The sequence below is a fragment of the Homo sapiens genome, chromosome 3, assembly GCF_000001405.40.
Source record: "Homo sapiens chromosome 3, GRCh38.p14 Primary Assembly".
NCBI lineage: Eukaryota > Metazoa > Chordata > Mammalia > Primates > Hominidae > Homo > Homo sapiens.
In genome coordinates, this window is record NC_000003.12 from 195,862,057 (window position 1) to 195,888,934 (window position 26,878).

The window sequence follows — 26,878 nt, forward strand, 5'->3', positions numbered from 1 at the left end:
AATAGGCAACTCATTAAAAAGGAAATACAAATGGCTCAACTTATTTTTGAGTTTATTCGTAAGAGAAATGCATATTAAAACTATAGAAACACTATTTTCTACCAGTCAGTCTGCCAAAGATCAGAAAACTCCTTAACACATGGAAAGCTCCCTTGCACAGGTGGTGTGACAACTGAGAATGTCCCTCCGCTGAGAGCAGGTTCAGCACCACCCACCGCCATGGCACACGCCCTTTGACCTAGCAGTCCCACTGCTGGGAACTCATCTTCAGATTGACGTGCGAGTGAAAAACAGCCCACATACACAATTTACTGAGGCAATGGTTGTAATTGCGAAGGACTGGATGCAACTAAAATTGCCCTTCATCAAAAGGAACCCAGTTAAGTAGGTTATGGTACACCCGTGCATCCACGCAACCCGAAAGAATGGGGAAGCCCAGCCGGGCGCGGTGGCTCATGCCTATAATCCTAGCACTTCGGGAGGCTGAGGCAGGCGGATCACCTGAGGTCAAGAGTTTGAGACCAGCCTGGCCAACATGGAGAAACCCCATCTCTACTAAAAATACAAAAATTGGCTGGGTGTGGTGGCACGTGCCTGTAATCCCAGCTACTCAGAGGCTGAGGCAGGAGAATTGCTTGAACCTGGGAGGCAGAGGTTGCAGTGAGCAGAGATCGCACCACTGTACTCCAGCCTGGGCAACAAGAGCAAAACTGTCTCAAAAAAAAAAAAAAAAAAAAGAATGGGGAAGCACGTTCAGTATTGCTATGGAATTCTTCAAAATATTATTAAGTAAAAACAAAAACAAGCACTACACAAGAAACTGGTGATACAGGCGTCTCTGCACTGGGGAAGTGGACGGCCGCGGTGGGTGATACCCAGTCATTTCACTGTACACTCCTCAGTGCCTTTTCAATTTTGAACCGTATGAACATGAGTTATTCAGAAAAGCAATTAAAATACCTAACATATTGAAGGGTTCCTTGTTGCTAACATTTCTGGCTTGGTTCTATTTAACTGGGTTGCTGTACTCTCTCCTGCAGTATATATCCTGCCTTACAGAAGTCCACGCGGCAAGTGAAATCCAGGCAGTGTGAAAGTCACTGACCAGACCGGCGGGGACTCTGGCCCCGCTGCCGGCCGTGTAAGGGAAGAGGCCTCCCGGTGTCCAGGCCTGCGCGCCCTCCCGCTGCCTCCAGGTGGTGCTACAAGGCCTGCTGCCCGGAGCAGATGCTGGTGGCCTGGGGAGCCTCGCTTGGGGCCTGGAGCTTGCTGACTAACAGGCAAAGAAACAGGCAGGCACAAGTAAGTAACATAAAATAGAAACTAACTTTATTTCTCTGGAAGAAGCAGGTACTGAATGCCGGAGCAGCAACTTCGCCAACAGGCTGGTGGGAAAACATGGAACCGCGTGGGGGAATTGGGTGGAAGAGGAAGCACTGATGTCCCTCCAGGGCGGCTGCCCCTTGGTCTCCTTCCAGCCCTGGGGCCTTGGGCCCTGGTCCCCGCCAGAGAATGGTCTGGCACCCTTTCTCCGCTTCCTGAGCCACCTCAGGCTATTTCCAGGCACAAGATCCTGAGGCCAGCCAAGTCCCATTCAAGTCCATGGTAAGGCCACAAGTCACATTCTGCCCGACACCCCAGCTGCTGCCAGGGGCCCCCTGGAAGAAGGCCCAGTCCTAGGAGGTCCCACCGGGTGCCGGTCCGCCTCTCCCTGTGGCCAACACATCCCGCCTGCCCAGGTCCAGCCTGGTTTCCTCCCAGTCTGTCACCCAGGGCAGGGCCTGGGGGTACTACTCCACCCACAGGCCCCGCCCAGGACCAGGGCCAGAGGCAGGTCATACCCAGAGCCTGCTGGGGCAGCCCTCAAGCCTGTCTTCACCCGGCCCCTTCCACATCTTGGCAGGGGCACCGGGACTGAACCAAAGTGTGCAGGGACAGCGCTGGTGCAGGAGGGATGGGCAGGGCAGGGCTCCCAGCCTCCCGCAGCCTTGGCCTTGCTCCATCCCCGGGAGCAGCAGGAGCAGCGGGTCCTCCAGGACTGGATGGGGGCATCTCCCCACTCCTGGTGGACGGACAGGCTCAGGTGATTCCTTCAGGCAGGCCCTCTGGCTCTCCAGACGCATCTCAGCGCCTAGAGAATGGGAAACCACCAGCACAGTTAAACAGTTTACAGAAGGTTCAGCGGGGCAGGCACCGGGGGTCACACTGGTGCCAGGCAACACCACTGGAAGCTGGCAGTCCCCGGCAAGGACTGTAAAATTTATCATCCTGGATGTCTTTTCTCTGTACTTTAATAAACTATGAGTAAACTAACAGAAGAGCACTCCTGCGTATTAGAGAATCCGAAGACGACAGGTGGGATAGAGCCCAAAGCCTATGTGGATGCAAATCAGTAAGAACCACCCGAGACAGCGACAGACAGGTGACACGGAGTGCCTGCATCCCAGCTGCAAATCAGTAAGAACCACCCCAGACAGCGACAGACAGGTGACACGGAGTGCCTGCATCCTAGATGCAAATCAGTAAGAACCACCCGAGACAGTGACAGACAGGTGACACGGAGTGCCTGCATCCCAGATGCAAATCAGTAAGAACCACCTGAGACAGTGACAGACAGGTGACAGCGAGTGCCTGCGTCCCAGATGCAAATCAGTAAGAACCACCCGAGACAGTGACAGACAGGTGACAGCGAGTGCCTGCGTCCCAGGTGCAAATCAGTAAGAACCACCCGAGACAGTGACAGACAGGTGACACGGAGTGCCTGCGTCCCAGGTGCAAATCAGTAAGAAACACCCGAGACAGTGACAGACAGGTGACAGCAAGTGCCTGCGTCCCGGGTGCAAATCAGTAAGAACCACCCGAGACAGCGACAGACAGGTGACACGGAGTGCCTGCATCCCAGATGCAAATCAGTAAGAACCACCCGAGACAGCGACAGACAGGTGACAGCGAGTGCCTGCGTCCCGGGTGCAAATCAGTAAGAACCACCCGAGACAGTGACAGACAGGTGACACGGAGTGCCTGCGTCCCAGGTGCAAATCAGTAAGAACCACCCGAGACAGTGACAGACAGGTGACAGCGAGTGCCTGCGTCCCAGATGCAAATCAGTAAGAACCACCCGAGACAGTGACAGACAGGTGACAGCGAGTGCCTGCGTCCCAGATGCAAATCAGTAAGAACCACCCGAGACAGTGACAGACAGGTGACAGCGAGTGCCTGCGTCCCAGGTGCAAATCAGTAAGAACCACCCGAGACAGTGACAGACAGGTGACAGCGAGTGCCTGCGTCCCGGGTGCAAATCAGTAAGAACCACCCGAGACAGTGACAGACAGGTGACACAGAGTGCCTGCGTCCCGGGTGCAAATCAGTTAAGAATGACCCGAGACAGGATGGGACAGACAGGTGACACCGAGTGCCTGCATCCCAGGTGCAAATCAGTAAGAACCACCCGAGACTGGGACAGACAAGTGACACGGAGTGCCTGCATCCCAGGTGCAAATCAGTAAGAACCACCCGAGACAGTGACAGACAGGTGACAGCGAATGCCTGCGTCCCAGGTGCAAATCAGTAAGAACCACCCGAGACAATGACAGACAGGTGACACAGAGTGCCTGCGTCCCAGGTGCAAATCAGTTAAGAACGACCCGAGACAGTATGGGACAGACAGGTGACAGGGAGTGCCTGCATCCCAGCTGCAAATCAGTAAGAACCACCCGAGACAGTATGGGACAGACAGGTGACACGGAGTGCCTGCATCCTGGCGCCAGGCGTGCTGGGCGCAATAAGACAGACATGTCCCCCATCCATCGCGCCAGTCCCTTCCACGGGGTGAGCACTATTATCTACACGCTTTATATGTGGAGAAACTCCGCACCGTGCACAGGGCCACGCTGCTGGGACAAGGGCAGCAGGTATCTCCAGGGCCTGGCCCGTGTCAGCCCCTCCTCCCGCCAGTGCCTCCTGCCATGGTGCTGGCTCCAGCCATGTGACCTCAGTTCACTTCTTTTTGACTTGACAGCGCTCTCATATATATATTTACATAATATATAAAGTGTGTTTATATATGTATATATTTTAAATGTCTATATATTTTGTTAAACTATAATATAAACCTTTTACAGGAAAGACAATATATTTTCTTTTTAGAGAAAATTTTTTTTTTTGGAGACAGTCTCCCTCTGTCGCCCAGGATGGAGTGCAGTGGTGCAATCTCAGCTCACAGCAACCTCCGCCTCCCAGGTTGAAGCGATTCTCCTGCCTCAGCCTCCCCAGCAGGTGGGATTACAGGTGCCCACCACCATACCCGGTTAATTTTTGTATTTTTAGTAGAGACCTGGTCTCGCCATGTTGGCCAGGCTGGTCTCGAACTCCTGACCTCAGGTGATCCTCCCTCCTTGGCCTCCCACAGTGCTGGGGATTACAGCCATGAGCCACGGTGCCCAGCCAACACTGAAATTTTAAATGTTACTTTAAACAGAAATATGGAAACACAGAGGTGAGAAAGAGGTGTGCAAATCATGGGGTCCTAAAAAGTGCCATTCCTGGAGCCGCTCAGGGTCACTGCAGGTGCTAGGGAAGCAAGCCTCCTTCAACCAGAGAGGCTCCAATTCCCTCTTGTACTCATTTGAAAACCAAGTGGCTAAAATGTCCAAATAAACACATTTAGGAAAAACGATTTGCTGGGCCCTGTGAGCGCCTCCCTCCCGCAGCTGGAGAGCTGTGTCTCCCTGGCCGGGAGCGGCCTGCGAGGTGTTGGGCTTCCTCCCAGTGTGGCAGGCTCTGGGACAGCCCTCCTGGGGCACGGAGCGGGGCAGACTGTGGGGCTCACTCACTTGTGGTGGGCAGGGCCCCAGGAGCCCAGAAGGTGGCAGCCGGCCTGCTCCAGGTTCCAGTCGAACATCTCCAGCACTTTGTGGCACTCCCCTCTGGGCCGCAGACCCAGCCCGAAGAGCTGCTCCACCTGGGGGTAAGGGTGGCGCCATGGACACGCGGGCCCAGGGCACCGACTAGGGTGGGGAAGAGGGGAGTCGGAGCCAGGGGGCGTGGGGCTGGGGGCAGCAGAACCAGGCTTCAGGGTCCCTGAGAGCCAGAGTGAGCAGGAGGTGGCGGTACCTTCAGATACTGGGCAGCCCTCTGCACGCTCCAGCCGTGGCACTGCAGGGCCGCCTGGCACTCCTCTGTGGTCACCCCATGCACCATGGCCTGCAGCTGGGCACACCCACCCCTGTCAGCACCACTAGGGCCCACTGCTCCAGGCCCCTTGGGCCCTGCCCCGCTTCGCCCACAGCCAGGCTGGGTGCTCACCATCTGGATCTTGTCTGCTGGCCGGCCCGCCTCTGGCCCATCGCCAGGGCAGCCCCTCTGTGGCAGCCGAGCAGTGGCCCTCGGGGGTGGTGGCCGGGCCCCTGGGTTGCTGTTGTTGGTGGAGAAGTTGGCCTTGGGGTCCAAGGCAGCCTGGGGCATCGGCCGCACGGTGGCCGTGGGGGCGGCGGGGGCTGGGGTGCTGGGTGGGGGCAGCAGCAGAGGCACAGGCAGGGGGGTAGGCTCCTCGGGGCTCTGGGCCTCACGCAGGAAGCGCTGGTAGCGCTCCAGGTAGGATGGTCGCTCGGGCAGCAAGTAATAGTGGGTGCTGCTGACCTTCTTGCCATCCCGGACGATGGGCAGGATGCAGGGACCAGCCCGCGGGCCAGGGGCCTGGATCACCTGGGGGGTGGCGTACTTGGGGTCTGAGGCAAAGCTCTGGGTGGTGGGCATGGTCTTCCCAGGTGAGCTTGAGAGCCGGGGTGGCAGCGGGGAGCTGCCAGGTGGTACCAGGGGGCTGGGTGTCCTCGAGCCTTGAGGGGACAGGGGCTCCCGCGGAGGCACCCGGGGAGGGGAAGCAGGTCCAGGCCACTGGCTGGTCTCCTCCTCGCCCGGGGGGGCTGGAGACAGCTGGACGTGTGGGCGCGTGGGCCGAGGGGGGATGGGTACCCGAGGAGGCACCTGGGGCTTGTCGTCACCCCCCGGGCTGGGAGAGGGGGCCGGGGAGCCGGCCGGAGCCTGCAGTTGCCTCATGCACTCCTGCTGTAGCGCCTGGAAGATCTCTGCGGTCTGTGCGGAGCTGGGCGGCTTGCCCCCACCCTGGGGCGGGAGGAACAGGTTGTCCTCCAGGGGAGGGGGCGGCCGCGCCTGCTCAGGCACAAAGGCGTAGTTGGTCTGGCCCTGGCTGGGCCCGGCAGGGACCCCCGCGCCCACGAGGGTGCTGTTGATGGAGCAGATCTCAAAGTCATCCTCATCCTGGGCCACGTCGTCATAGGCGGGCGGGGGGGGCAGCGGGCGTGCGTCCCAGTCCACCACAGGCGTGGGGTGCAGGGGCCGGGGCAGTGCCCGCGTGGGGCTCTGAGGCGGGGTCTCGTCCAGCAGGGAGCAGGCGTCCATGGCCAGCTGCGCCAGGGAGGGCGCGCAGGGCCGTAGGGCCGGGACCACGGGCTCCTCACCGAAGTCGATGAGCGTGACCTCAGCCCCGCTGCCTCGGCTGGCCTTGGTGCCCGGCACCCGCGCCGAGGGCTTCGCCAGCCACAGCCCTCGGGGCAGGCCTGGCTTCCGCAGGCCCAGCCTCTTGAAGTCGCTGGACAAGGGGTCTTGGTCCTCGCTCACAGGGTCATAGGTTGGTTCTGTGATGGAAAGGGAGAGCCCAACAGGAAGGCAGTCAGGCAGGGTCTGGGACACGAGGGGAGGTGGCACGTGGGAGAGAAAGCCAAGTGTCCCCCAGCAACCCTCCACTCCCAACTCCCCCCGAGGTCTGAGGTCAGCCACCGGCGGCCAGGTTCTCAGCGCACCTCCGACCACTCCATCAGGAGGGCGGAACCTGCTCTGCCCGGCAGCCCCATGTGGGCCGGTGAGCCCCGCCTCGCTCCGTCTAAGCTGCAGCAAGCAACACTGGCTCCTGCCTGACGCTGCCTCCACCAGCACAAGACCCCGGCGGCCCTGCTCCTGCGCCCTGGCGAGTTAGTGAGCCCTCATCCCCGCCCCTGTCACGGCACACCATTAGTGCAGGCACGGAGCCGCCTCCTGCCATCAGGGGCTATAAGGACTATCCTTGGAGAGGACAGTACTCCTGACCAACGGCCACAAAGCCCAGACAGCGCCTGCAGGTCTGGGAGGCAGCGAGGCCAAGGCAGAAGCCAGGGCCACACTCGTGCTCCAGAAGCTCAGACAGGTCTGGGAGGGAGTGAGGCCGAGGCGGAAGCCAGGGCCACACTCGTGAGCAGAAGCCCAGGCTCCGGGGGGCGGGCTCGAGGGGGGGCAGGCATGCTAGGCCAGGGCAGCCGCGGAAGCTCACAGCACACACCCACCCACCTCCCCTCCGGCCCAGCCGCCCAGGCTCTGTACCTTCCAGGAGAGGAGTGAGAGAGAGGGGGCGGGGGCGGGGGCCAAGGCATCGGAAGCAGCCCCACTTACTCTGAGTGAAGAAGGCAGGCTGAGGTGGGCGAGGTGGAGGCTCCCCTGCAAGAAAGGCCATGCGGACAGGGGGAGAGAGACGGAGCAGGACAGAGGACAAAGGAGGGAGACGGCCGGACGAGAGGGCAGAGTGTAGAGAGACGAAGGGAGAGAAGTGAATGGGGGCGAGTGAATGTACAAGCCCCCAGCAAACGGGAGGCCGCAGGCGGCAGGATGAGGAACACGGCGGTCCAGTATGATAGGCAGAGGACCGGGAGATGGAGGAGGCCCCAGGCAGAGCCGGAGCCGTGGGGTGGTTTTGGCTTGGGACAGGAGAGCAGGATTAGGGGGAAGTGAGGAAAGCCAGGATCTGAGCTCGGCCGTGGAAGGAGGGAGGAGGGACGCCGGGGCGGACGGGCCTGCTGCAGACCCAGCCCGAGGAGGCCCACCTCGGCGGATACAGCTGCCTGTCTTCCACCCCACGCCCAGCCGGAGCCAGGGACACAGCTGTCCCGCCTGCTGCCCTGACCCCACTGTCCCCAAAAACAGAACAGCAGCCTTAGGGTGGCCTGTGAAGACAGTGCCCCTTCCTGAGTAGCCGATGAGTTAGGGACACCAGGGAGCAGAGGGGCTCTTACTTTTCACCCCTCCTAGATGCTGGGGGGGCCGGGAGGTGCTCAGTTCCACGCTCAGGAGGTCGGGGGGGTCCATGGGGTTTCCCAGATACAGTCTGTGGGGGAGAGAGCTGGGTCAAGAGAGCAGGGGAAGCGTGTGGAGGGGTGGCAGAATCTCATCAGAGCCCCTTCGTCCTGGAGGAAACCGGGTGTAGTCTTGGGTCTGAAGCACAGGCCTCCCGCCTCCCAGTCCACAGAACCTGACCGCACGTCTCAGCTGGGGGGTGTCCTGGAGAGAAGGCAGAGAAAGGACACCTGACCCCAGGATGGAAAGCCTAGGACCTCAGGGACTCCAACTACACCCTACAAGGGCAGAGGTGGTCCTCCACAACCCCCCAGGCCCCCAGCCCACACCAGGCAGCGGCCAGAGGGCAGACACTCCTGTCCCGCAGGCCACGATGGAGGGCCTAAGAACGGGGCATCCCAGCTATGGTGCCCAGCCAGGGTGGGCAGGAGGCACCCTTCTGCCACATGGCCAGGAGGTGCGGGAGAGGCTGGGCCACCTGTCCTGCTCCGGATCCACCCTCCGTCCCTGCACCAACTGTCAGTATCTGAGACTTAGTCACTGGGGCTGATTAAAGCCTGGAGGAATGGGGCTGGGCTGGCCACAGCATGCCAGGAGTGGGGCAGAGGGCACCAGCCTCTCCTGGAGGTGTCTGCAGTCTTTCACCCCAACTCTCAGGCCCTTGCTGGGTTCTTTTTAGGCAAAACACATGGGCTGAGCCCTGTGAGCTTGGGGTTCCAGTGTGTGTGGGCCCGCTGTGTGGGTTCTGGTGTGTGGGGGCCCGCTGTGTGGGTTCTGGTGTGGGGGGACTCGCTGTGTGGGGTTCTGGTGTGTGGGGGCCCGCTGTGTGGGTTCTGGTGTGTGGGGGCCCGCTGTGTGGGGTTCTGGTGTGTGGGGCCCGGTGGGTGAAGGCCCCTGCTTTCCACGCCTCTCAGGGCAGACCAGAGTATCAGAAGTCAGCAGGAGAAGGGCTGCAGAGGCCAGGGGCCTGGAATCCCCCTGCGGCCAGCAGAGAGGCTTGGAGGCCTGGCGCAAGAAGCTTCGGGGGGTGGGGGGTGGCATCCCGGAAGTGACTGATTCTGCGTGTCCTTCCCAGATGCCCCTCGGTGGCCTTATCCTCTTACATAGGAGACAGGGCCTCTCCCAGGTATGGAGTGAGCTCCGTAGAGTACTGTGTGGTGGGGAGGCGGAGCTGCCACCTAACGTTCCCTCTGCAGTCCCCAAGGTCCCCAGTCCCACTCTGGTTCTGGAAAGCAGGCTCACTCCCATGTGGACCTGCATACATCCCCAGGGCCTGAGCCAGCAGGTTCACGTCTCCAGGACTCTGGCACCACCAGCAGGAGAAGGAAAACCACTGCTCGTGTGCAGGGGTCACAGGGTCACAGGGTCACAGGGGGCCACAGGGGGGTCATGGGAGAAGCTCTCCTCCTCAGCAGCTCCCACCGGGTTCCTCCCAAGTTCATTTTCCTAAGGCCCGAGTACCAAGAGGGGTTACAGCTGTGGCTCCGGGGACCTTTCCACCAAACAGGAGTCCATCCTCAGAAGCTCCTGACCCTACTTTCATCTACAGTGAGTGGGAAAGCTTCTCTCAGGACCCCTGCATCTGAGCAGCAAGTGCTAATTCAGAGTGCATTTACAGCCTTCCCCTTATTGGGGGGGTGAACCTGTTTCACAGATGAAGTGTCTCAGAGTTAGGAGATCGGCCCCCCAAAGCTTGAAAATGGCAGGGACAGCATTCCCCTGGAGAACGCTCCCCGGAGAACCCTCCCCTGGAGAACCCTCCCCTGGAGAACATTCCCCTGGAGAACCCTCCCCTGGAGAACCCTCCCCTGGAGAACCCTCCCCTGGAGAACATTCCCCTGGAGAACCCTCCCCTGGAGAACCCTCCCCTGGAGAACACTCCCCTGGAGAACATTCCCCTGGAGAACCCCCACCAGGCTGGGCTTCCTAGGGTTCCACAGCTTCCCGAGAGTAAGGCCAGGGTGAGGAGGGGAGAGTGGCGGGTCGGGGGCTGAAGCCCGGGCGAAAGGGTGAAGAGCAGATTCCGCCCACGCGTGCCGTGCTGAGGGCCCTGGAGTCCCGAGCGGGGCCAGGTCAGCATCCATCCCCGCCCAGTACTCACTCGTCAATCCTGTCCGGGAAGCCCCAGCAGTGGCGGGGGTCACTGTCGCCATGCCCTGTGTGGATGAAGCTGTTCTGCAGGGGCTGGCTGATGTCCTGGGCCGACAGGCCGGCCACGGAGGTCACCACGTTGCGAGGGAAGGGCCCCACACACAGCGTCCGTGTGTTCTGGCCACGCCACCAGTAGTTCTCGGCCCTGCGCGACAGAGATGGCACGGTGAACGCCAGGCGTGGCGGGGCAGCCCCGGCACTGGGACCCTCCTCACACCCTGGCCACTGTGGCAGAAGGGGGATGGAGCTCAGGCCTCAGGACCAGGCTGTGTGCCACCGGCCCTCCTCCCCAACAGCCCCCGTGACCCACCATGCCCCGTACAGGCCTGTTTGCACACGGCCTTACCCACAACTCTCTAGGTGGGTCAGGCAGCTTTCCCTATGGTTTGCAAATAAGGAGGCACGCTGGAAGCTGCTGCAGCAGGCAACATGACCTGTCCACGGTTACCAGAAAGATCCCAGCAGACCTGGGACCCAACGCCAGCTTTCAGGTCTGTGGGGCCAGCGCCCCGCCCACACCTCCTCCTCACCCCTCAGTTCCCTGGCAAGGCCGGGGCCCCAGTCCTCTTCTGGCCACTTGATTTCACTCCTCGGCTGGGTTCCAGGAGTTCTGAGAGGTGCGGGGGTGCCGGGGGACACCTAGGGCCTTGCACTAGGCTGGGGGCCAGGCCTCCAGCTACAACCTGCCTCCCGAATGCAGACGCGGGAGAGTCTAGGAGCACTCGGGCAACTCAGTCCCTCCCTCCACCGCTTCACCTGCTTCCGGAGCTTTCCACCACCTCCCGGAAGGCCTGCGGGAGCCTCCCCGTCTCCTCAGGAGGGGCTCTACCTGTGTCCAAAAGGGAACTCAGCTCTCCCACAGTGACCAGACAGTAGGGCTGCCAGTCCCCCTCTGACCTCAGACACGAAACCTCTGCTGATGTGGCCTAAGCCGGGGCCTGGGCAGGGGCAGGGGCAGGGGCAGGGGCAGGCAGGCCAGGAAGCACAGGGCTCCCGCAAGACACTCCTGACTCCCGAAGGCTCTCACAGGTTGTGAGGCTCCCGCGTCTGCTGCTGGACTTGTCATACGTGATGCCGTGAGCAGAGTCTGGGCAGGCGGGGGCGGTGAGAGCCCCGTGGGCAGTGTCTGGGCAGGCGGGGGCGGTGAGAGCCCCGTGGGCAGTGTCTGGGCAGGCGGGGGCGGTGACAGCCCCGTGGGCAGAGTCTGGGCACGCGGGGGCGGTGACAGCCCAGAGCTGCTAGGGTGGACACGTGTGGCACCACACTGCACGCCCTCCCCACCAACCCCCACTTCTCCTGTCCCAGGGCCAAAGCGTGAAGAAGGGCTCCTCTGAAACCCAGCCAGGCCGGGGAGAGAGGACGGAGGAGGTGGCGACGCCTGGGCACCCAGACCCACAGCCTTGTAAGGTGACGAGGCCTGGCTGGAGCGGGGTGACTCCGGAACAGCCCATCCCAGAGACCAAAGTCAAACCCGAGAGCACCACGGTCGGCGGGGAGGCGGGGGGCGCGGGGCGCGGGGAGACGGGGCTGTGCTCCCCCTGCCCAGCCTCCTCATACACAGGGCCACTGGCCTGGCCCCACCACACACAGCCACCCTGTGATTCCCACCCTGCCTGCAGGGAGGGAAGGAAGGAGAGAGGACAGTACCCCGAGACGAGACGAGTCCCATCTGAAAAATAGCAGGGCCACTCGAAGGAGCAGAGCCCCGGCTCCCCAGCACGCACACAGCCTCCCACGGCGGCCCGTAGAGGAGGAACCCCGGCACCGGCTGGGCTGCGGCTCTCCCGCTACACCCACGGGCTCCCCGGTGGCTGCCGCGGGCCAGACGCCGGACTCTGCTCTCCACACCTCTTCAGAGGCGCTCAGTAACTGGGTGAGAATGCCGCTGAGGCCGAGACCTTGCTCAGAGCAGCGTGACTCGTGCCCAAGGCAGGTCACTCCGTCTGGCCTCTCCCTTCCGCCAACACTGCCCAGCTCCAGGCACAGAAGCCTCCTTTGGGACCCACTTCTGAGAGGGAAAGGAGACATCAAGCCCACCTCCCTTAGTGCAGGTATGGCCGAGGCAAGAGCCCCCATGGCTGCTGGGAGTCCTGACACCACTCGAGAAAACATGCTTGCTCCTGGGGGAAGGAGAGTAAGAGTGCGGAGGACGTGTGCAAGAAGCTCCCCTCGGGATGGCGCCCACGCACACTCCGAGGCACAAGAAACTCCCCCTCGGGATGGCGCCCACGCACGCTCCGAGGCACAAGAAGCTCCCCCTCGGGATGGCGCCCACGCACACTCCGAGGCACAAGAAGCTCCCCTCGGGATGGCGCCCACGCACACTCCGAGGCACAAGAAGCTCCCCTCGGGATGGCGCCCACGCACGCTCCGAGGCACAAGAAACTCTCCCTCGGGATGGCGCCCACGCACGCTCCGAGGCACAGGAAGCTCCCCTCGGGATGGCGCCCACGCACGCTCCGAGGCACAGGAAGCTCCCCTCGGGATGGCGCCCACGCACACTCCGAGGCACAAGAAGCTCCCCTCGGGATGGCGCCCACGCACGCTCCGAGGCACAAGAAACTCCCCCTCGGGATGGCGCCCACGCACGCTCCGAGGCACAAGAAGCTCCCCTCGGGATGGCGCCCACGCACACTCCGAGGCACAAGAAGCTCCCCTCGGGATGGCGCCCACGCACGCTCCGAGGCACAAGAAACTCCCCCTCGGGATGGCGCCCACGCACGCTCGGAGGCACAGGAAGCTCCCCCTCGGGATGGCGCCCACGCACACTCCGAGGCACAAGAAGCTCCCCTCGGGATGGCGCCCACGCACACTCCGAGGCACAAGAAGCTCCCCTCGGGATGGCGCCCACGCACGCTCCGAGGCACAAGAAACTCCCCCTCGGGATGGCGCCCACGCACGCTCCGAGGCACAGGAAGCTCCCCTCGGGATGGCGCCCACGCACGCTCCGAGGCACACGAAGCTCCCCTCGGGATGGCGCCCACGCACGCTCCGAGGCACAAGAAACTCCCCCTCGGGATGGCGCCCACGCACGCTCCGAGGCACAAGAAACTCCCCCTCGGGATGGCGCCCACGCACGCTCCGAGGCACAAGAAGCTCCCCCTCGGGATGGCGCCCACGCACGCTCGGAGGCACAGGAAGCTCCCCCTCGGGATGGCGCCCACGCACACTCCAAGGCAGCTTCATCCCAAGGCTCCAGTGGGACTTCCAAGAGGACCGTGTCACTTCTCGCAGCCCACACGCACCCGTGTGAGGCTCAGTGTGGCCGAGGCACCAGCAGTCCAGAGGGGACTGAGGCCAGCCCTTCCTTCCAGGCCCGCCCTGTCCGCGCCCTCTCTCTCCCGCCATGAACAGGCCGGAGTCCCCGTGGCCATGGGAGGGCCAGGGCTGCTACCCGGCCGTGACTGAAGCAGGGGCGGATGAGGACTTCCTGGGGGAGCAGGAAAAGGGCCCAACACCTCCGCATGAACCTTCTACCTCCTGCTGCCCCCGGGCCTCTGGTCAACATCTCTGGGGTAGACAAGATGGAAAACAGAGGCCGGTGCTGAGAACTGCCTAAGGCTGCCCCAGCTCTGGAAATCTCAGCACCACGTTCCCGTCCGGGCCGAAGGTAGTCCAGAAATGGCTCAACTAATGCCGGACATTCTGTTCAAAACGCCCGCCCGCTCTTCTCCCTAGGGGTCCCAGGCGCCCAGGCCTGGAGGGATAACCCGGATGCCTGGCTCCCACCCACCACAGGAAGCCGAGGCTCCAGGGCCAGACCAGGCCAAGGACCCGCAATGGATTCCAACACCCGCTCTGTATGCGGAACAAAAGTGCTGCCAGCCACCCCTTCCTCCAAACGAGCCCCTGGGAAAGACCAGTCATCATTTGTGTCTCCAAATCTAGACACAGCACGAAACATCTAGGTGTCTCCCCTCTGCCCACAGCCTGGTACCCTGAGAAGGACTGAGCCTAGACTCAGTCAGAGCTGCGGCAGGTGGCCTCCCAGACTCCGCACCAGGAAACAAATACTGGACACAGCTTCGCAAGTGGGAAGCCACGGCGAAGAGAAGGCCAGGCTAGGAGGGAACTCCAAACACAGACCCACAGATGCACACCCAGGCCCAAAGACTCACACAGAGCCATCCGCCTGGAGACATGGAGACGGAGGCAGCCAAACAAACATGGAGATATTCAGGGACTGAAGAAACAAGGGGGCAGAGTCAAGCTCTGCCACCACCGACACCCAGGCCCGCTCCCAAGCCTCACCGGCTGTTGTGGCCTCCTGCCCCTCACCTCCCACCTCCTGAGCAGCTCCAGGCACGGAGGGCAGGTGCTGTGGTTCCAAGCCAGGGCTGGTGGCCCAGGGGGAAGGAGCCCCCAGAGCCCCACCAGCAGCAGCCACAGGGAACCAGCGGCTGGGGCCAACGGGGGCCTTCGACGGAAGGGCGGGGCGGGGCACACCCACAACCCTCCCAGGAGCAGCCGCTCCCGGCCCCTCCCACTGCCCGCCTTGCCCGGGCGGTGACCTAAAACACCAGCTCCAGAGACACACGCCCCAAACACAGGCCACTCTGAGTCACCCCTGGGGACACTGGCAGGCACACAGGCTCCTGCTGAGAGCAAGGGAAGCAGGTGGTAAAGATCTGGGGCTCCGGCAGCAGCACAAGAGGGGCCAGGCCCACGGCTTTCCAGCTCGTGGAGGTGGACACGGTCATGAGGCTGGACTTCGGGCTGGAGGCCCTGCCAGGTACTTCCAGGGGACCCCCCCACCCTTAATCTTCCTATTTCCAGAATGCTCCCCGGAGCGCCACGCTTGCAATCCCATCCCTGGCCCCTCAGCTCCAAACCTGCAGACTGTTTGCCTCCTGTCCCCAGGCCTCTCTTTCTAGAACCTTCTGCATTCTTCCCCAGCATAACACCCCTAACCACAGGCCCTGCAGTCTCAGTATGTCATTCCTATTCCCAGACCCTGGGCCCAAGGGTGAGGGAGCCGGGCCTGGGAAGGCTCGGGGTGTCGGGGCCACAGCGGTGCAGGTCACACTCCACACAGCCCCCCAGGTCTCCTCCACCCACCCCCAAGAGGCACAGGATTGCACCGAAGGCCGCAGACTCCAAAAGCTGCAGTGCAGGTGGAAGAGGCTCCCTGGGAAGCAGCCCTAGCCCCATCCTTGCCTGGCCTGAGTCAGGAGCTGCGAGCACAGGGGATTTCCTCCACTTCACTCTTCTTCCTGGTCCTCAATACTGCCCCTGCCTCAAAGGTACCTGAAACCTGCCCTGCCCCAGCCAGTTGCTCAGACACCCTGGGGATCAGCCAGCACAAGGCAGGGCCAGCAGTGGTGGGGCCTCAGGGCAGGCGCTAGAACTGCGGGGGCTCAGGTGGAAGACAGGGACTCCCGAGAGGCTGTGGGAGGAGGGTTAGGTATAGAGAGGGTCCTCCCAAGGGGAGATGGGAAGAGAGGACCAGAGGCTGGAGGCAGGCCTGGGAGGGGGTGGTGGGCTCAGCAGGAAGGATGGAAAGCTGCAAGAGGGCAGGCTGGGCTGCTTCAGCTACTGAAACGCACCCAGGTGGATGGCTGAGTCCCTGTGCCAGGAAGAAGCAGGGAGAGAAGCGGGGAGGAGCAGAGGAGGAAGCACGGGAGTCCAGAACTCTGCTGCCACCGAGGCCAGGCCACTCCCTACCCCTCCATAAAGGCAGCCTGGCCCAACCACACAGCCAGGGCTGCAGCCCAGTGGGAAAGGGTGGTGGAGGGAAGCTGGGCAGGGAAAGGCACTAGGAAGACGGAGGCAGGCCTGTCCTCCCCTCACACTGCAGGGTTCAGGCCCAACCGCCAGCCTGTATGTGGCCAAGGGAATCTTGGAGGCCAAACAGATCTGTCCACAGGTCCCTCCGACCTGTGCCCTTCAAGCGATCCCAGGGCGGGGCCCAGCCCTGCACTCCCTACCTTCCCTCGATGACGGTGATGACATCATTCATCTGGATGTGCAGCTTGTCCGGTTCCTCAAAGTCCTGAAGGGCCCGCATGTCTGTGGGCTGGGCCTGGAGGAAGAGGAAGGTCGTGGCCAACTCTGGGACTGACGCCTGGGTAGCCCCTCAGCTTGAACACCCCAGCTCTCCTGGGCTGACCTGTCCCTCACCTCCAGCAGGAAGTCCCGCAGGGCCACAAACGTGGGTCTGTCCTCTGGCTTGTGAGCCCAGCACTGGACCATGACGTTGTAGATGTCCTGGGGACAGTCCTCGGGCCGGGGCAGCCGCTCCCCCTCCTTGTCGATCTTATGCAGGATCTGAAGGTGAGGAGGTGCAGAGTTTGACGACAAACAGAGCGCCCAGCCCTTCACTTCCCGCCTTCCCTCCAGCCCATCCACAGCTGCAGCGGCTGCTGCCATGCCTGGCCTCCAAAGAAGGGATCTGCCTGCCTGGGAGGGGCCCTCTCCAGAGCCCCAGTCCCTTCTTCCCAGGTCTGGAGCCTCGGAACAAGTGGATGTGGCAAGGGCTAGAGAAGGAGGGCAGGCCCCAGCTTTTCCCTCCCCGTCTCTTTGCTGGGCTCTCCCTGAGGCCATACAGATACGGGGCGTGAGAGGAGACACGGGGCGTGGTGGGAGGCACGGGAAGTGGGGGGAGGCACGGGGCGTGGGAGGAGGGAGTCCATTGGTGAGAGGCAGTTCCAGCAGGGCCAGGCTGCAAGCAGGGAATGGAATTCACCCCACCAGCCCTATGGGGGCCCGTCTCCCAGCCCTCACCTGACTGCCGTTGAGGCCGATCCAGGGCTCCTGGCCGTAGGTGAACATTTCCCACAGTGTCACCCCGAACATCCAGGTGTCGCTGGCATGGGAGAAGGTGCGTGTCTTCAGGCTCTCGGGGGCACACCTGGCAGAGGCAGGGGTCAAAGAGAAGCCCTCTCAAACACCCTACCTGCGTCCGCCCCAGGGACTTAAAACACTCATGCAGCAAACACTTGTTGTGACCCCCTGTGCCAGGTTCAACAGTGGGTCTCAGGGGCGCCGTGTGAAGCGGGCAGGACCCCTTGACGACACGATGCAGGGACTTGGGGAAATCGTCTAAGCCCAGGCCTCTTATTCACTTGCAGCCTGGTGGGGGAAGAGGAAAGGAAGTTTCCCAGCCAGAGAAGCATGGAAAGGAAGGAGGTCAGAGGCTCTGGGATGGGGCAGGGAGAGAAGATCACAGGCTGTTTTCTGACTGTGGTGGGAGAATGACAATTCCCAGATTTGGGGCGGGATCCTCGGATTTGGGTCCTTTGGCAGGAAGCAGTGGGTGGGAAATTCGGGTAGGGCCTGGGGAAGAACCAAAATGGGTAGAAACAGTCATACTGGCTTCACCCAAATACACCCATTCGTTCTGGGCACCCCCGGTTGAGGGGGAAGTGCCACTGCAGTGAGGTCAGAAAGGACATCCCGGCGTGGACTGAGGTGCAGAGAGGAGGGTGGTGCCCAGACAGGGAAGCAGAGCGAGCCCTGCCCCTCAAAGGGGATGGGGCCGGGAAAGTCACTCGAGATCGCTAAGGTTCATTATCCTCCTTGGTGAAATGAGAACAATAACCCGCCCACTTCATCGTGCTGTTTAAAGGCAACTATATTCATACCTTACCATGCAAACCAGGATGCCTGAATACAAAAGAGGCTGCTCTAAATTACTCCAGGACAACGGGCATAATTTAAGACCTCTGCTCGCCCTGGGTGTAAAGCCAGCTGCTCGTTAAGATGACCATGCGTCCTGGATCATAAGGGTTGCCCACAGCCACCGCTTGGGAAAGCAGAACTGGAACAACCCTTCCCGCCTCAAAGCAGGCAGATCACAGACCTCTGGGTGCCTCTGGCACCAGAGAACCACAATGGTCTCAGCAGAGGATAAGCCCACACAGGGGCCAGGGCAGGGCCAAGTACCACCCCTAGTGCACAGGTAAGCAGCCCTGGCCCATCTACAAGGCCTGCTGTGGCCTGGGCCTGTCTACCACTAGCTCTCCCTAGAACATGCTTACCAACGAGTCTTTCCCTGGCGAACTTCCCTGATGTTTTAGGAAACCTTTGAATACCTCCCCACAGAAATGCCCCTTGGAGAGGACACAGCATCTATCCCTGTAACACCCCCCCAGCAATGCCCCTTGAAGAGGACACAGCATATATCCCTGTATCACCTAACTCAGCAGTGACCCTCGGAGAGGACACAGCATCTATCCCTGTAACACCCCCCCCCCCAGCAATGCCCCTTGGAGAGGACACAGCATCTAACCCTGTAACACCCGCCCCCCAGCAATGCCCCTCGGAGAGGACACAGCATCTATCCCTGTAACACCCCCCCAGCAATGCCCCTTGAAGAGGACACAGCATATATCCCTGTATCACCTAACTCAGCAATGACCCTCGGAGAGGACACAGCATCTATCCCTGTAACACCCCCCCAGCAATGCCCCTTGGAGAGGACACAGCATCTATCCCTGTAACACCCCCCCCAGCAATGCCCCTTGGAGAGGACACAGCATCTATCCCTGTAACACCCCCCCCAGCAATGCCCCTTGGAGAGGACACAGCATCTAACCCTGTAACACCCGCCCCCCAGCAATGCCCCTTGGAGAGGACACAGCATCTATCCCTGTAACACCCCCCCAGCAATGCCCCTTGGAGAGGACACAGCGTCTATCCCTGTAACACCCGCCCCCAGCGATGCCCCTTGGAGAGGACACAGTGTCTATCCCTCTAACACCACCCGCCAGCAATGCCCCTTGAAGAGGACACAGGATCTGTCCCTCTAACACCCCCCCAGCAGTGCCCCTTGGAGAGGACACAGCATCTATCCCTGTAACACCCCCCCAGCAGTGCCCCTTGGAGAGGACACAGCATCTATCCCTGTAACACCCCCCCAGCAATGCCCCTTGGAGAGGACACAGCGTCTATCCCTGTAACACCCGCCCCCAGCGATGCCCCTTGGAGAGGACACAGTGTCTATCCCTCTAACACCACCCGCCAGCAATGCCCCTTGAAGAGGACACAGGATCTGTCCCTCTAACACCCCCCCAGCAGTGCCCCTTGGAGAGGACACAGCATCTATCCCTGTAACACCCCCCCAGCAGTGCCCCTTGGAGAGGACACAGCATCTATCCCTGTAACACCCGCCCCCAGCGATGCCCCTTGGAGAGGACACAGGATCTGTCCCTCTAACACCCCCCCCAGCAACGCCCCTTGGAGAGGACACGGCATCTATCCCTGTAACACCCCCCCCAGCAATGCCCCTTGAAGAGGACACAGCATCTATCCCTGTAACACCCCCCCAGCGATGCCCCTTGAAGAGGACACAGCATCTATCCTTGTAACACCCCCCCCCCAGCAACGCCCTTTGGAGAGGACACAGCATTTATCCCTATAACACCCCCCCGCCAGCAATGCCCCTTGGAGAGGACACAGGATCTATCCCTGAAACACGACCCCCAACAATGCCCCTTGGAGAGGACACAGCATCTATCCCCGTATCACCCCACCCAGCAAAGCCCCTTGGAGAGTCCCACAGCATGTATCCCTGTGATTTCCAGCACCCAGACCCTGGCACGTGGGCCCTCAAGAATTCCTAGATGGATGGTGAGCGAATGGGTGCAAAGGAGGGCACCCCAGGCTTAGAACAGACAAGGGCAGGCCCAAGCAAAACCAGGGGCTGTGGTGGGTCCAGAAAGCCCCAGAAGCTTTGAGGCCTGGGTCTGCAGGGACTCTGTGAGCTGGCAGCACCTGCCCCTCACCAGGCGAAGGGCACCTTGCGATGTTCCTGCATGACGTAATGGTCGTCATTCTGAGGTAGTGCTCGCATCAGCCCAAAGTCCCCGATCTTGACCAGGTCGCGGGTAGCCAACAGCAGATTGCGGGCAGCCAGGTCACGGTGAATAAAGCGCTTGGACTCCAGGTAGCCCATGCCCTCAGCCACCTGCACAGCGTAGCGGCTCAGAGTCCCCAGGAGGAAGTGGCCCTGGTGCTTACGTAGCCGGTCCAACAACGATCCCAGAGGTGCCAGCTCTGTCACCTGAGGCCACGGAGGAGGCAGGAGGAATGAGCTGGAGGACCCTGCCCCTTCTCAGCAGCCCACGCTGGGCCCCCAGTCCCCTTCCTGAAGGCTTTCCAGAGCCAGGCTGCACGCACCTTCCTGGCCTGCTGTCTGGGGACCTCTAGGAGTCCTGCAGTTTCTCAGGCCTCTCCCTCGAGGCAATTTGGGAAACTGATGCCTAGAGAGAAGGAGCCCAAAGAGGCAGTGGCTAGAAATTCCAAAACTCAGCTGGACGTGGTGGCTCACGCCTGTAATCCCAGCACTTTGGGAGGCCGAGGTGGGTGGATCATTTGAGGTCAGGAGTTTGAGACCAGCCTGGCCAACATGGTGAAACCCCGTCTCTACTAAAAATACAAAAATTAGCCAGGCATGGTAGCGCACGGCTGTAATCCCAGCTACTTGGAAGCCTGAGGCAGGAATATCGCGTGAACCCAGGAGGCCGAGGTTGCAGTGAGCCTAGATCATGCCATTGCACTCCAGCCTGGGCGACAAAGTGAGACTCCATCTCAAAATAAATAGATAAATAAAACATAAATTCCCCAAATTAAACTCAGTGGCCAGCCCCTCCCATGGGAGTAACTCTCTTGACACTGAGCACCAGCAAAATCCAGAGACAGACCCGGACTGGACCGCAGCAGACACAGCCCGTACCAGGCTGGGCCCCTGTGGACCCCTTTACTCCATCAGGTTGGGGGACCAAAGTAGGATCTAGGGCGCCTCTGACCTTAGGATGGAGAGAGGAACCGAACCACACATATGGGACCGGAGCCCTCTCCCTGCCCGCCCCCTCCCGCCCGCAGTACTCACCATCTTCATGGGCGGCGTGAGCACCACCCCGTAGAGGCGGATGAGGTTTCGGTGGTCGAGCGAGTGCATGGCATTGACCTCCCGGATGAAGTCGTCCATGGCTTCTGGCTGGCTCAGGACATCGGGCTTCAGGCACTTCACAGCCACACTCACCTGCCCAGAGCGGGATTTGCAAGGACTCAGGACTTGCCAGGTCCCAGACACGCGGAGCCAACCTGCTCCACCCTCCAACTCGGCTCAACGATCCCTGCCTGTGAGCTCCTCATCTGGGTGGGTAAGCATGTCACCAGTGCCTGGGCTTACGTGCTCTGCGTGAGGCCTGGCTGGAGAAGGGCAGACGGCTGGCCCTCAGGAGCCATCGTCGGCCACACCTCCCCTTCCTGGGGGAATGCCGGGCTTAAATACCAACCAAAAAGTAAGAGATAACCAGTATGATGAGAGAATATTCAAATGTTATAAAATGGAATTTTTTTTTTTGAGACAGTCTCGCTCTTGTCGCCCAGGCTGGAATGCAGTGACGTGATCTCAGCTCACTGCAACCTCTGCCTCCCGGGTTCAAGTGATTCTCCTGCCTCAGCCTCCTGAGTAGCTGGGATTACAGGCAGGTGCCACCACGCCTGGCTAATTTTGTATTTTTAGTAGAGATGGGGTTTCTCCATATTGCTCAGGCTGGTCATAAAATGGAATATTAAAAGGTGTTTTGCTGTAGAAGGAAAATGCTGTAAATGTAATGCCAAAAACAAAGCTGTGGAGCTGGAAGTCTGCACAGCGGCTTCCCCGGGAGAAGGATGCACTGAGTGACAGCGGCTTCCCCGGGAGAAGGACGCACTGAGTGGACGGAGAATGAGGAGCCCTCTGAGGTGCTGGGAATGCACCGCACGTGATCTGAGCAGTAAGGACACGGCTGCTGCACAGGAAACAGTCACACCAGAACTGTATGCTGTGGTGACACGTTATCCCTGAGGGGAAAATGTTAAATGCAACGCCGAGAAGAAAGAACAAGATTTTAAAAGCTGTATCCAGAATTTGTATCTTAACTAAATCCAACAAAATACCTAAAGTGGGAGGAAGAGGCTCGGCTTCCTCTGAGTGGTGGGATTACAGGCGATTTTTTTTTTCTTGTTTTTCAAATACTTTCCAAACTTTTATAATAAATTATTTTTATAGTTGAAATAATAAATGTGCTTAGTTAAACCTGAGCATGGGCTGGACGTGGTGGCTCACACCTGTAATCCAAGCACTTTGGGAGGCTAAAGTGGGCAGATCATCTGAGGTCAGGAGTTCGAGACCAGCCTGGCCAACATGGTGAAACCCCGTCTCTACTAAAAATACAAAAATTAACTGAGTGTGGTGGTGCATGCCTGTAATCCCAGCTACTCAGGAGGCTGAGGCAGGAGGATTGCTTGAACCCGGAAAGTGGAGGTTGCAGGAAGCCGAGATCGTGCCTACTGCACTCCAGCCTGGGCGACAGAGCGAGACTCCATCTCAAAAATAAATAAATAAATAAAACCCCAAAAATCCTGAGCACGGACTCTGGGATGAGCCACACTGTGACGCATCCCCAGTCCCATCCACACCCTGGTTGGGGGCAGAAGAGCCACTACCAGCCCCGGGTCCCATGCCTCTGCTGCGCTGGCAGGACACAGAGAGCTCACCGTCTTCCCTGAGGGCGCGTCCCACTCGCCCCTGCGCACCACGCCAAAGGAACCATCACCCAGCTTCTCCAGGAGGCGCAGGTCCTTCTCCCCAATGAGGCAGGTGAGGCTCTGCAGGGGCCCCTCCCCTGCTGGGCCCCCAGGGGCGGGCGAGGTCTTCCGGAAGGTGCTCTGAGAGTGATGAGGTGGGAACTCAGCCTCCAGTCGCTTTCCACTGAACACCTGTTTGAAGGCAGCCGGGGGCCAGATGGAATCCAACACCCCAGGGTCAGTCACTCAGTCCCACCCCGCTGGGTCCACCTGGTGATCCCCGGCTTCGGCTTCCAGATAGGTCCTGGTTTTGCCAAACTGTCAGTGGGGCAGCCTGGCTGGAGGCCCACACTCCGTCCAGGGCACACCCCCAAACATGAACCCAAAGCCTGATGCTGGCCTCAAGGAGGGTGCCAGAAAGAGACCGACAGGCATGCAGCCTGTGGCTGAGCGGCCCCACACCCAGCTGTGTGGAGAGGGAGGGCACCGCCCAGCCAAGGTCGGAGTCTCCTCCCAGTCCTGCCCCACCCTCCCTTCCTGCACCCGCCACCCCGCAGACTCCAGCCCTAACCCGCATCGATGGAGCCGCAGGGGCCCTCCACAGACACCTCCTTGTCCATTTTTAGCCCTGGCCCCTTCTCTGGCCTGACCATTTGGTGCTGTCTGTCTCCACCCTCACCAGGGAGTCGGCTGCCCTTCATCCTGCCCAGGGGAGAGGATAATTTTAGTCTGAGGTTGAACCGTGAGTGTGTGTGTGGTTCAGATGAAGCTAGTCCTTGCTGGGAAGGGGCCTGGGAAGACAGCTGGGTCTCTGGAGGGGCGCCTAGAGCTGAGGGCTGAGACGGAAGGAAAAGTGGAGGAGACTCGGAGGCCAGGGTGGACAGGGAGGAGCCGAAGGTCAAGGGACAGAAGAAAGGAGGCCATGAGGGTCAAAGCTGGCCACGTCGGTCTGACTCGGCCTCCACTGAGGCACCCACAGCCTTGGCTCCAGATTGCAGATTCTTGCCAGCTTGGGTCTCACGCCCCCAGAGCTGGTGGATCCTTATCCGTCTGGGCTAGGGTGCCTCAAATCTGAGGGCCTCTTCTGGCCTCTGCCCTGTGCTTCCTCCCAGTAACTAGAATTCCTTATGTTTGCAAGCAATGTTCAGGTTACAAGACCCTCTACAGCCATTATCTCCGGTGCCTCCTGCAGCCCCGGGAGGTGAGCTGGGCAGTGGGGACCGGTATCATTTCACTGAAGACACAACAAAAATCTGGAGGCCACTGACCGCCCAGGGACCTATCAGGAGCCAGTGGCAGATCCAAGACCCCTAAATCTCAGCAAACCACGCTGCTCTCTTCTCCTGCCTCCACCATCCCGACACTACTCATCCTTCCCTAAAACCCGGGCAAAGGACCAGGACAGTGTTTCCAGGAAAAGCCAAAGGATCCCAAGAGACAGCCCCTTTGCCGGATTGCAGCCAGGAAAATCTCTGCTGCCCAATCCCACTGCAGCTGTTCGGCCCTGCCCACCCCCCAACCCAGCCCTGAAGCCAGAAGTGGGGAGGAAAGACCACGGCTGGCTCACTTCCTCTCTCATTGTCTTCCAGACAATGGGCAAAGTTCCACTGAGTCAGACCAGGGACTCACTACACCACAGACCCAAATTAGGACAAGGTGTGGGGAGAGGTGGGGACAGGCTGTGGGGAAGGAAGCTGTCAGCAGGGACAGATGACCAGAGAAACCCAGAGATTAGAGAGGGTCAGGGAGGAGGGAAGCCAAGCAAAGACGTTCTGGGTCCAGACAGGTCCACCACCCCACGCTGGACACTGGCCCCAACGCTCAGACACAGCAGGGCTAAGTTAAGGCACACTTGTCAATGAGGTCCTGTTCCAGGCGTGCCGAGAGGGGCTGTGAAGGCCTCACCGCACACAGGCTGCTCACGTGTCCGTATCTGGCGGAGACAGACACTTAGCCCAGCAGCTCTACAAGTGCCCTGCCCGATAAGACCCTGGACGAGGGGGTCCTGTACAAAGTGCCGGCAGAACGGCGAGATTCGACCTGCCGGGGAGCTGGGGAAGGTTCCCAGGACCAGAAGCGGAGGGGGGCGTTCGAGGCTGCCCCCCTCCCACCTCCTCACCCACCTCCTCACCCACCTTACTCATCCACGACTTGCGTTTGCACAAGGCCTTCCTCCTCTTCACAGCCTCCCACAGCCGCCGCTGGCCTGCAGGGAGAGCGGGGAACCGCGTGCTGTGAAGGCCGCCGTAGCCCGAGAGAGGCTGCTGCCTGTGGTCCCCTTGGGGGTGAGCCTGTCACTAGACACCGCCCACCCGATGATAGCAATGAAATCAACCCCAACTAACCCGGAGCCTCAACTGACCGACGGTCTCTGCACTCCACTTCCTGGCACTGGCTCTCAAACTGGGTGAAGGTGTTTAACCAAAAACTTGAAGCGATGGGCTTCTCCCAGTTCTCAGGAAAAATCAAGGTAATGAACAGAATTTTCTCAATGTTGAGGTTTTTTTCCCTCCGTAAAATTTTTTTATGCTACTGGCATCAGACACCAACTATCCAGGCCTAAAGTAGCATAAATCAATGTCTAACTTAGCACATTACTACCTATTTAGCTATTTTAACTAAGTCAGTGTCTAACTTGACACGTTATTACCTATTTAGCTATTTTAACTAAGTCAGTGTCTAACTTGACACATTATTACCTATTTAGCTATTTTAACTAAGTCAGTGTCTAACTTGACACATTATTACCTATTTAGCTATTTTAACTTGAAAGCCCTAATACGTTTCTAATGTTCTATGAAGAACATCATGACTTTTAGATGCTACAACCCCCACTTTTAGGAAAAATATGAAGATAAGGGTTGAACTCAAATCAGAGCAAACCTGTGTGTATGTGCGTGTGTGTGCACACGCGTGTGCGCACGTGTGTGCGTCTGCGCGCGTGTGTGTACATGTGTGTATGCCGTGCGTGTGCATGCGGGTGTGCGCACACACGTGTGTGTGTGTGTGCGTGTCTGTGTGCGCAGGCGTGTGAGCGCGTGCGTACGCACGTGCATGCGTGTGTGCACGTGCATGCGTGCGTGCACGTGTGTGCGCATGTGCGTGTGTGCCTGCGTGTGTGTGTGTGTGTGTGTATGCCTGTGCGTGTGCATGCGTGTGTGCGTGTGAGAGAGCAAGAAAGAGAGCGTGAGCACGAATCAGCAAACCATCTGAGAGTTAGCGTTCTCCCTACAGATCTCTGCACATGGACCCCCCGGTAGTCAGAATGATGAGAACAGACTCAATTCGATGCTTATGAAGGAGGGGCAATGGAGGACATACACTCTACGTGAGAACAATCACAACGGGGCATGGAGTGACTCCTGTGTAGCCAGCTTTAGGGAAGGCCTCACTCTCCTCAAACTCCAATTCACCTTTATAACTGCCAACTGTTCTCATCACACATCAGCACCTACTGATGTCCCTCCTGCTCCCTCAGGGCTCTGGGACAGAGTTCTCAGCTGCCACCCGTGCACCGAGTGGTCCTGAGGACAGAGGACGGAAAGGGTCAGGGGCAAGACAAGCCAGGCCAACATCCCACCTACCAGGCCGACCCATGCCGATCTTCTCCAGGTCCTCATTCTTGACGTACTCAAAGTGGGACAGGCGGGTGACGTTGAGGTCATCTCGGAGCCGCAGGAAGTACTGTTGCAGCTGCACCTCGGACAGCAGCTCCAGCAGCCAGCCTGTGCCCTCCTCTGGCTGCATTCTGCCGCCTCCCAGCCTCTGTGGGGGGAGGAGTGGCTCAGGGACAAGGGTTGTGGGGGGACAACAGGGGCCTGCCCGAGTGACCTGGGCTCACCTTCATCCCACTACACGGCCACCCGGAAGGGCTCACACCACCTTCTGACTCCCGAGGGAAGCTACCGAGAACCGCCTGGACCCACGTCCCCTATTCCTGCCAGCCACAGGGCACAATTAGGGCGGCGGAGATACAGCCCTGGCCCTGGAGTCAGGAGTCAGGGTCTTGCTCCCGAAATGTGATCTGTGACTGAGTGACCCAAGATCAACCTGTGCTCACATTCCTGCTCTAAGTTTCTAGGGGTCGAAAGTC

General features: G+C 60.1%; 1 protein-coding gene and 1 non-coding gene across 74 annotated transcripts in view, besides 4 other annotated features; both read right to left on the bottom strand.

The window, feature by feature from the left end:
• Window positions 1,308-26,878, bottom strand: part of TNK2 (tyrosine kinase non receptor 2) — a 45,188-nt gene continuing 19,617 nt past the window's right edge. For 17 of the 73 annotated variants that reach the window (NM_001382273.1, XM_047447157.1, XM_047447161.1 and 14 more), the window contains 15 exons: window positions 26,370-26,550; window positions 24,921-24,991; window positions 22,756-22,977; window positions 21,101-21,253; window positions 19,995-20,272; window positions 16,993-17,119; window positions 16,390-16,536; window positions 16,197-16,291; window positions 10,220-10,414; window positions 8,058-8,149; window positions 7,441-7,485; window positions 5,305-6,653; window positions 5,113-5,208; window positions 4,833-4,960; window positions 1,308-2,131 (listed from right to left, as the gene is read on the bottom strand). In NM_001382273.1, the coding sequence (NP_001369202.1) occupies window positions 2,125-2,131; window positions 4,833-4,960; window positions 5,113-5,208; window positions 5,305-6,653; window positions 7,441-7,485; window positions 8,058-8,149; window positions 10,220-10,414; window positions 16,197-16,291; window positions 16,390-16,536; window positions 16,993-17,119; window positions 19,995-20,272; window positions 21,101-21,253; window positions 22,756-22,977; window positions 24,921-24,991; window positions 26,370-26,532 (3,168 nt within the window). In that variant the 5' untranslated portion in view covers window positions 26,533-26,550 and the 3' untranslated portion in view covers window positions 1,308-2,124. Of the gene's footprint in view, window positions 2,132-4,828; window positions 4,961-5,112; window positions 5,209-5,304; window positions 6,654-7,440; window positions 7,486-8,057; window positions 8,349-10,219; window positions 10,415-14,547; window positions 14,699-16,196; window positions 16,292-16,389; window positions 16,537-16,992; window positions 17,120-19,994; window positions 20,273-21,100; window positions 21,254-22,755; window positions 22,978-23,356; window positions 23,488-24,920; window positions 24,992-26,369; window positions 26,551-26,626; window positions 26,723-26,878 lie in introns of those variants that run through there. The other 56 variants (NM_001386164.1, XM_047447153.1, XM_047447156.1 and 53 more) reach the window with 27 other exon arrangements.
• Window positions 15,472-16,026: an enhancer, noted in NCBI's record as "H3K4me1 hESC enhancer chr3:195604399-195604953 (GRCh37/hg19 assembly coordinates)". NCBI's record gives its function as "activates a minimal SCP1, AML or CMV promoter by ChIP-STARR-seq in primed H9 embryonic stem cells {active_cell/tissue: H9 hESC(primed)}" and the evidence as "EXISTENCE:reporter gene assay evidence [ECO:0000049][PMID:30033119]".
• On the bottom strand, window positions 20,273-20,339 carry MIR6829 (microRNA 6829). The gene has a single exon (NR_106887.1). It is a non-coding gene; the product is annotated as a microRNA 6829 (primary transcript).
• Window positions 21,230-21,730: an enhancer, noted in NCBI's record as "H3K4me1 hESC enhancer chr3:195610157-195610657 (GRCh37/hg19 assembly coordinates)". NCBI's record gives its function as "activates a minimal SCP1, AML or CMV promoter by ChIP-STARR-seq in naive H9 embryonic stem cells {active_cell/tissue: H9 hESC(naive)}" and the evidence as "EXISTENCE:reporter gene assay evidence [ECO:0000049][PMID:30033119]".
• Window positions 24,574-25,337: an enhancer, noted in NCBI's record as "H3K27ac-H3K4me1 hESC enhancer chr3:195613501-195614264 (GRCh37/hg19 assembly coordinates)". NCBI's record gives its function as "activates a minimal SCP1, AML or CMV promoter by ChIP-STARR-seq in primed H9 embryonic stem cells {active_cell/tissue: H9 hESC(primed)}" and the evidence as "EXISTENCE:reporter gene assay evidence [ECO:0000049][PMID:30033119]".
• Window positions 26,104-26,867: an enhancer, noted in NCBI's record as "H3K27ac-H3K4me1 hESC enhancer chr3:195615031-195615794 (GRCh37/hg19 assembly coordinates)". NCBI's record gives its function as "activates a minimal SCP1, AML or CMV promoter by ChIP-STARR-seq in naive H9 embryonic stem cells {active_cell/tissue: H9 hESC(naive)}" and the evidence as "EXISTENCE:reporter gene assay evidence [ECO:0000049][PMID:30033119]".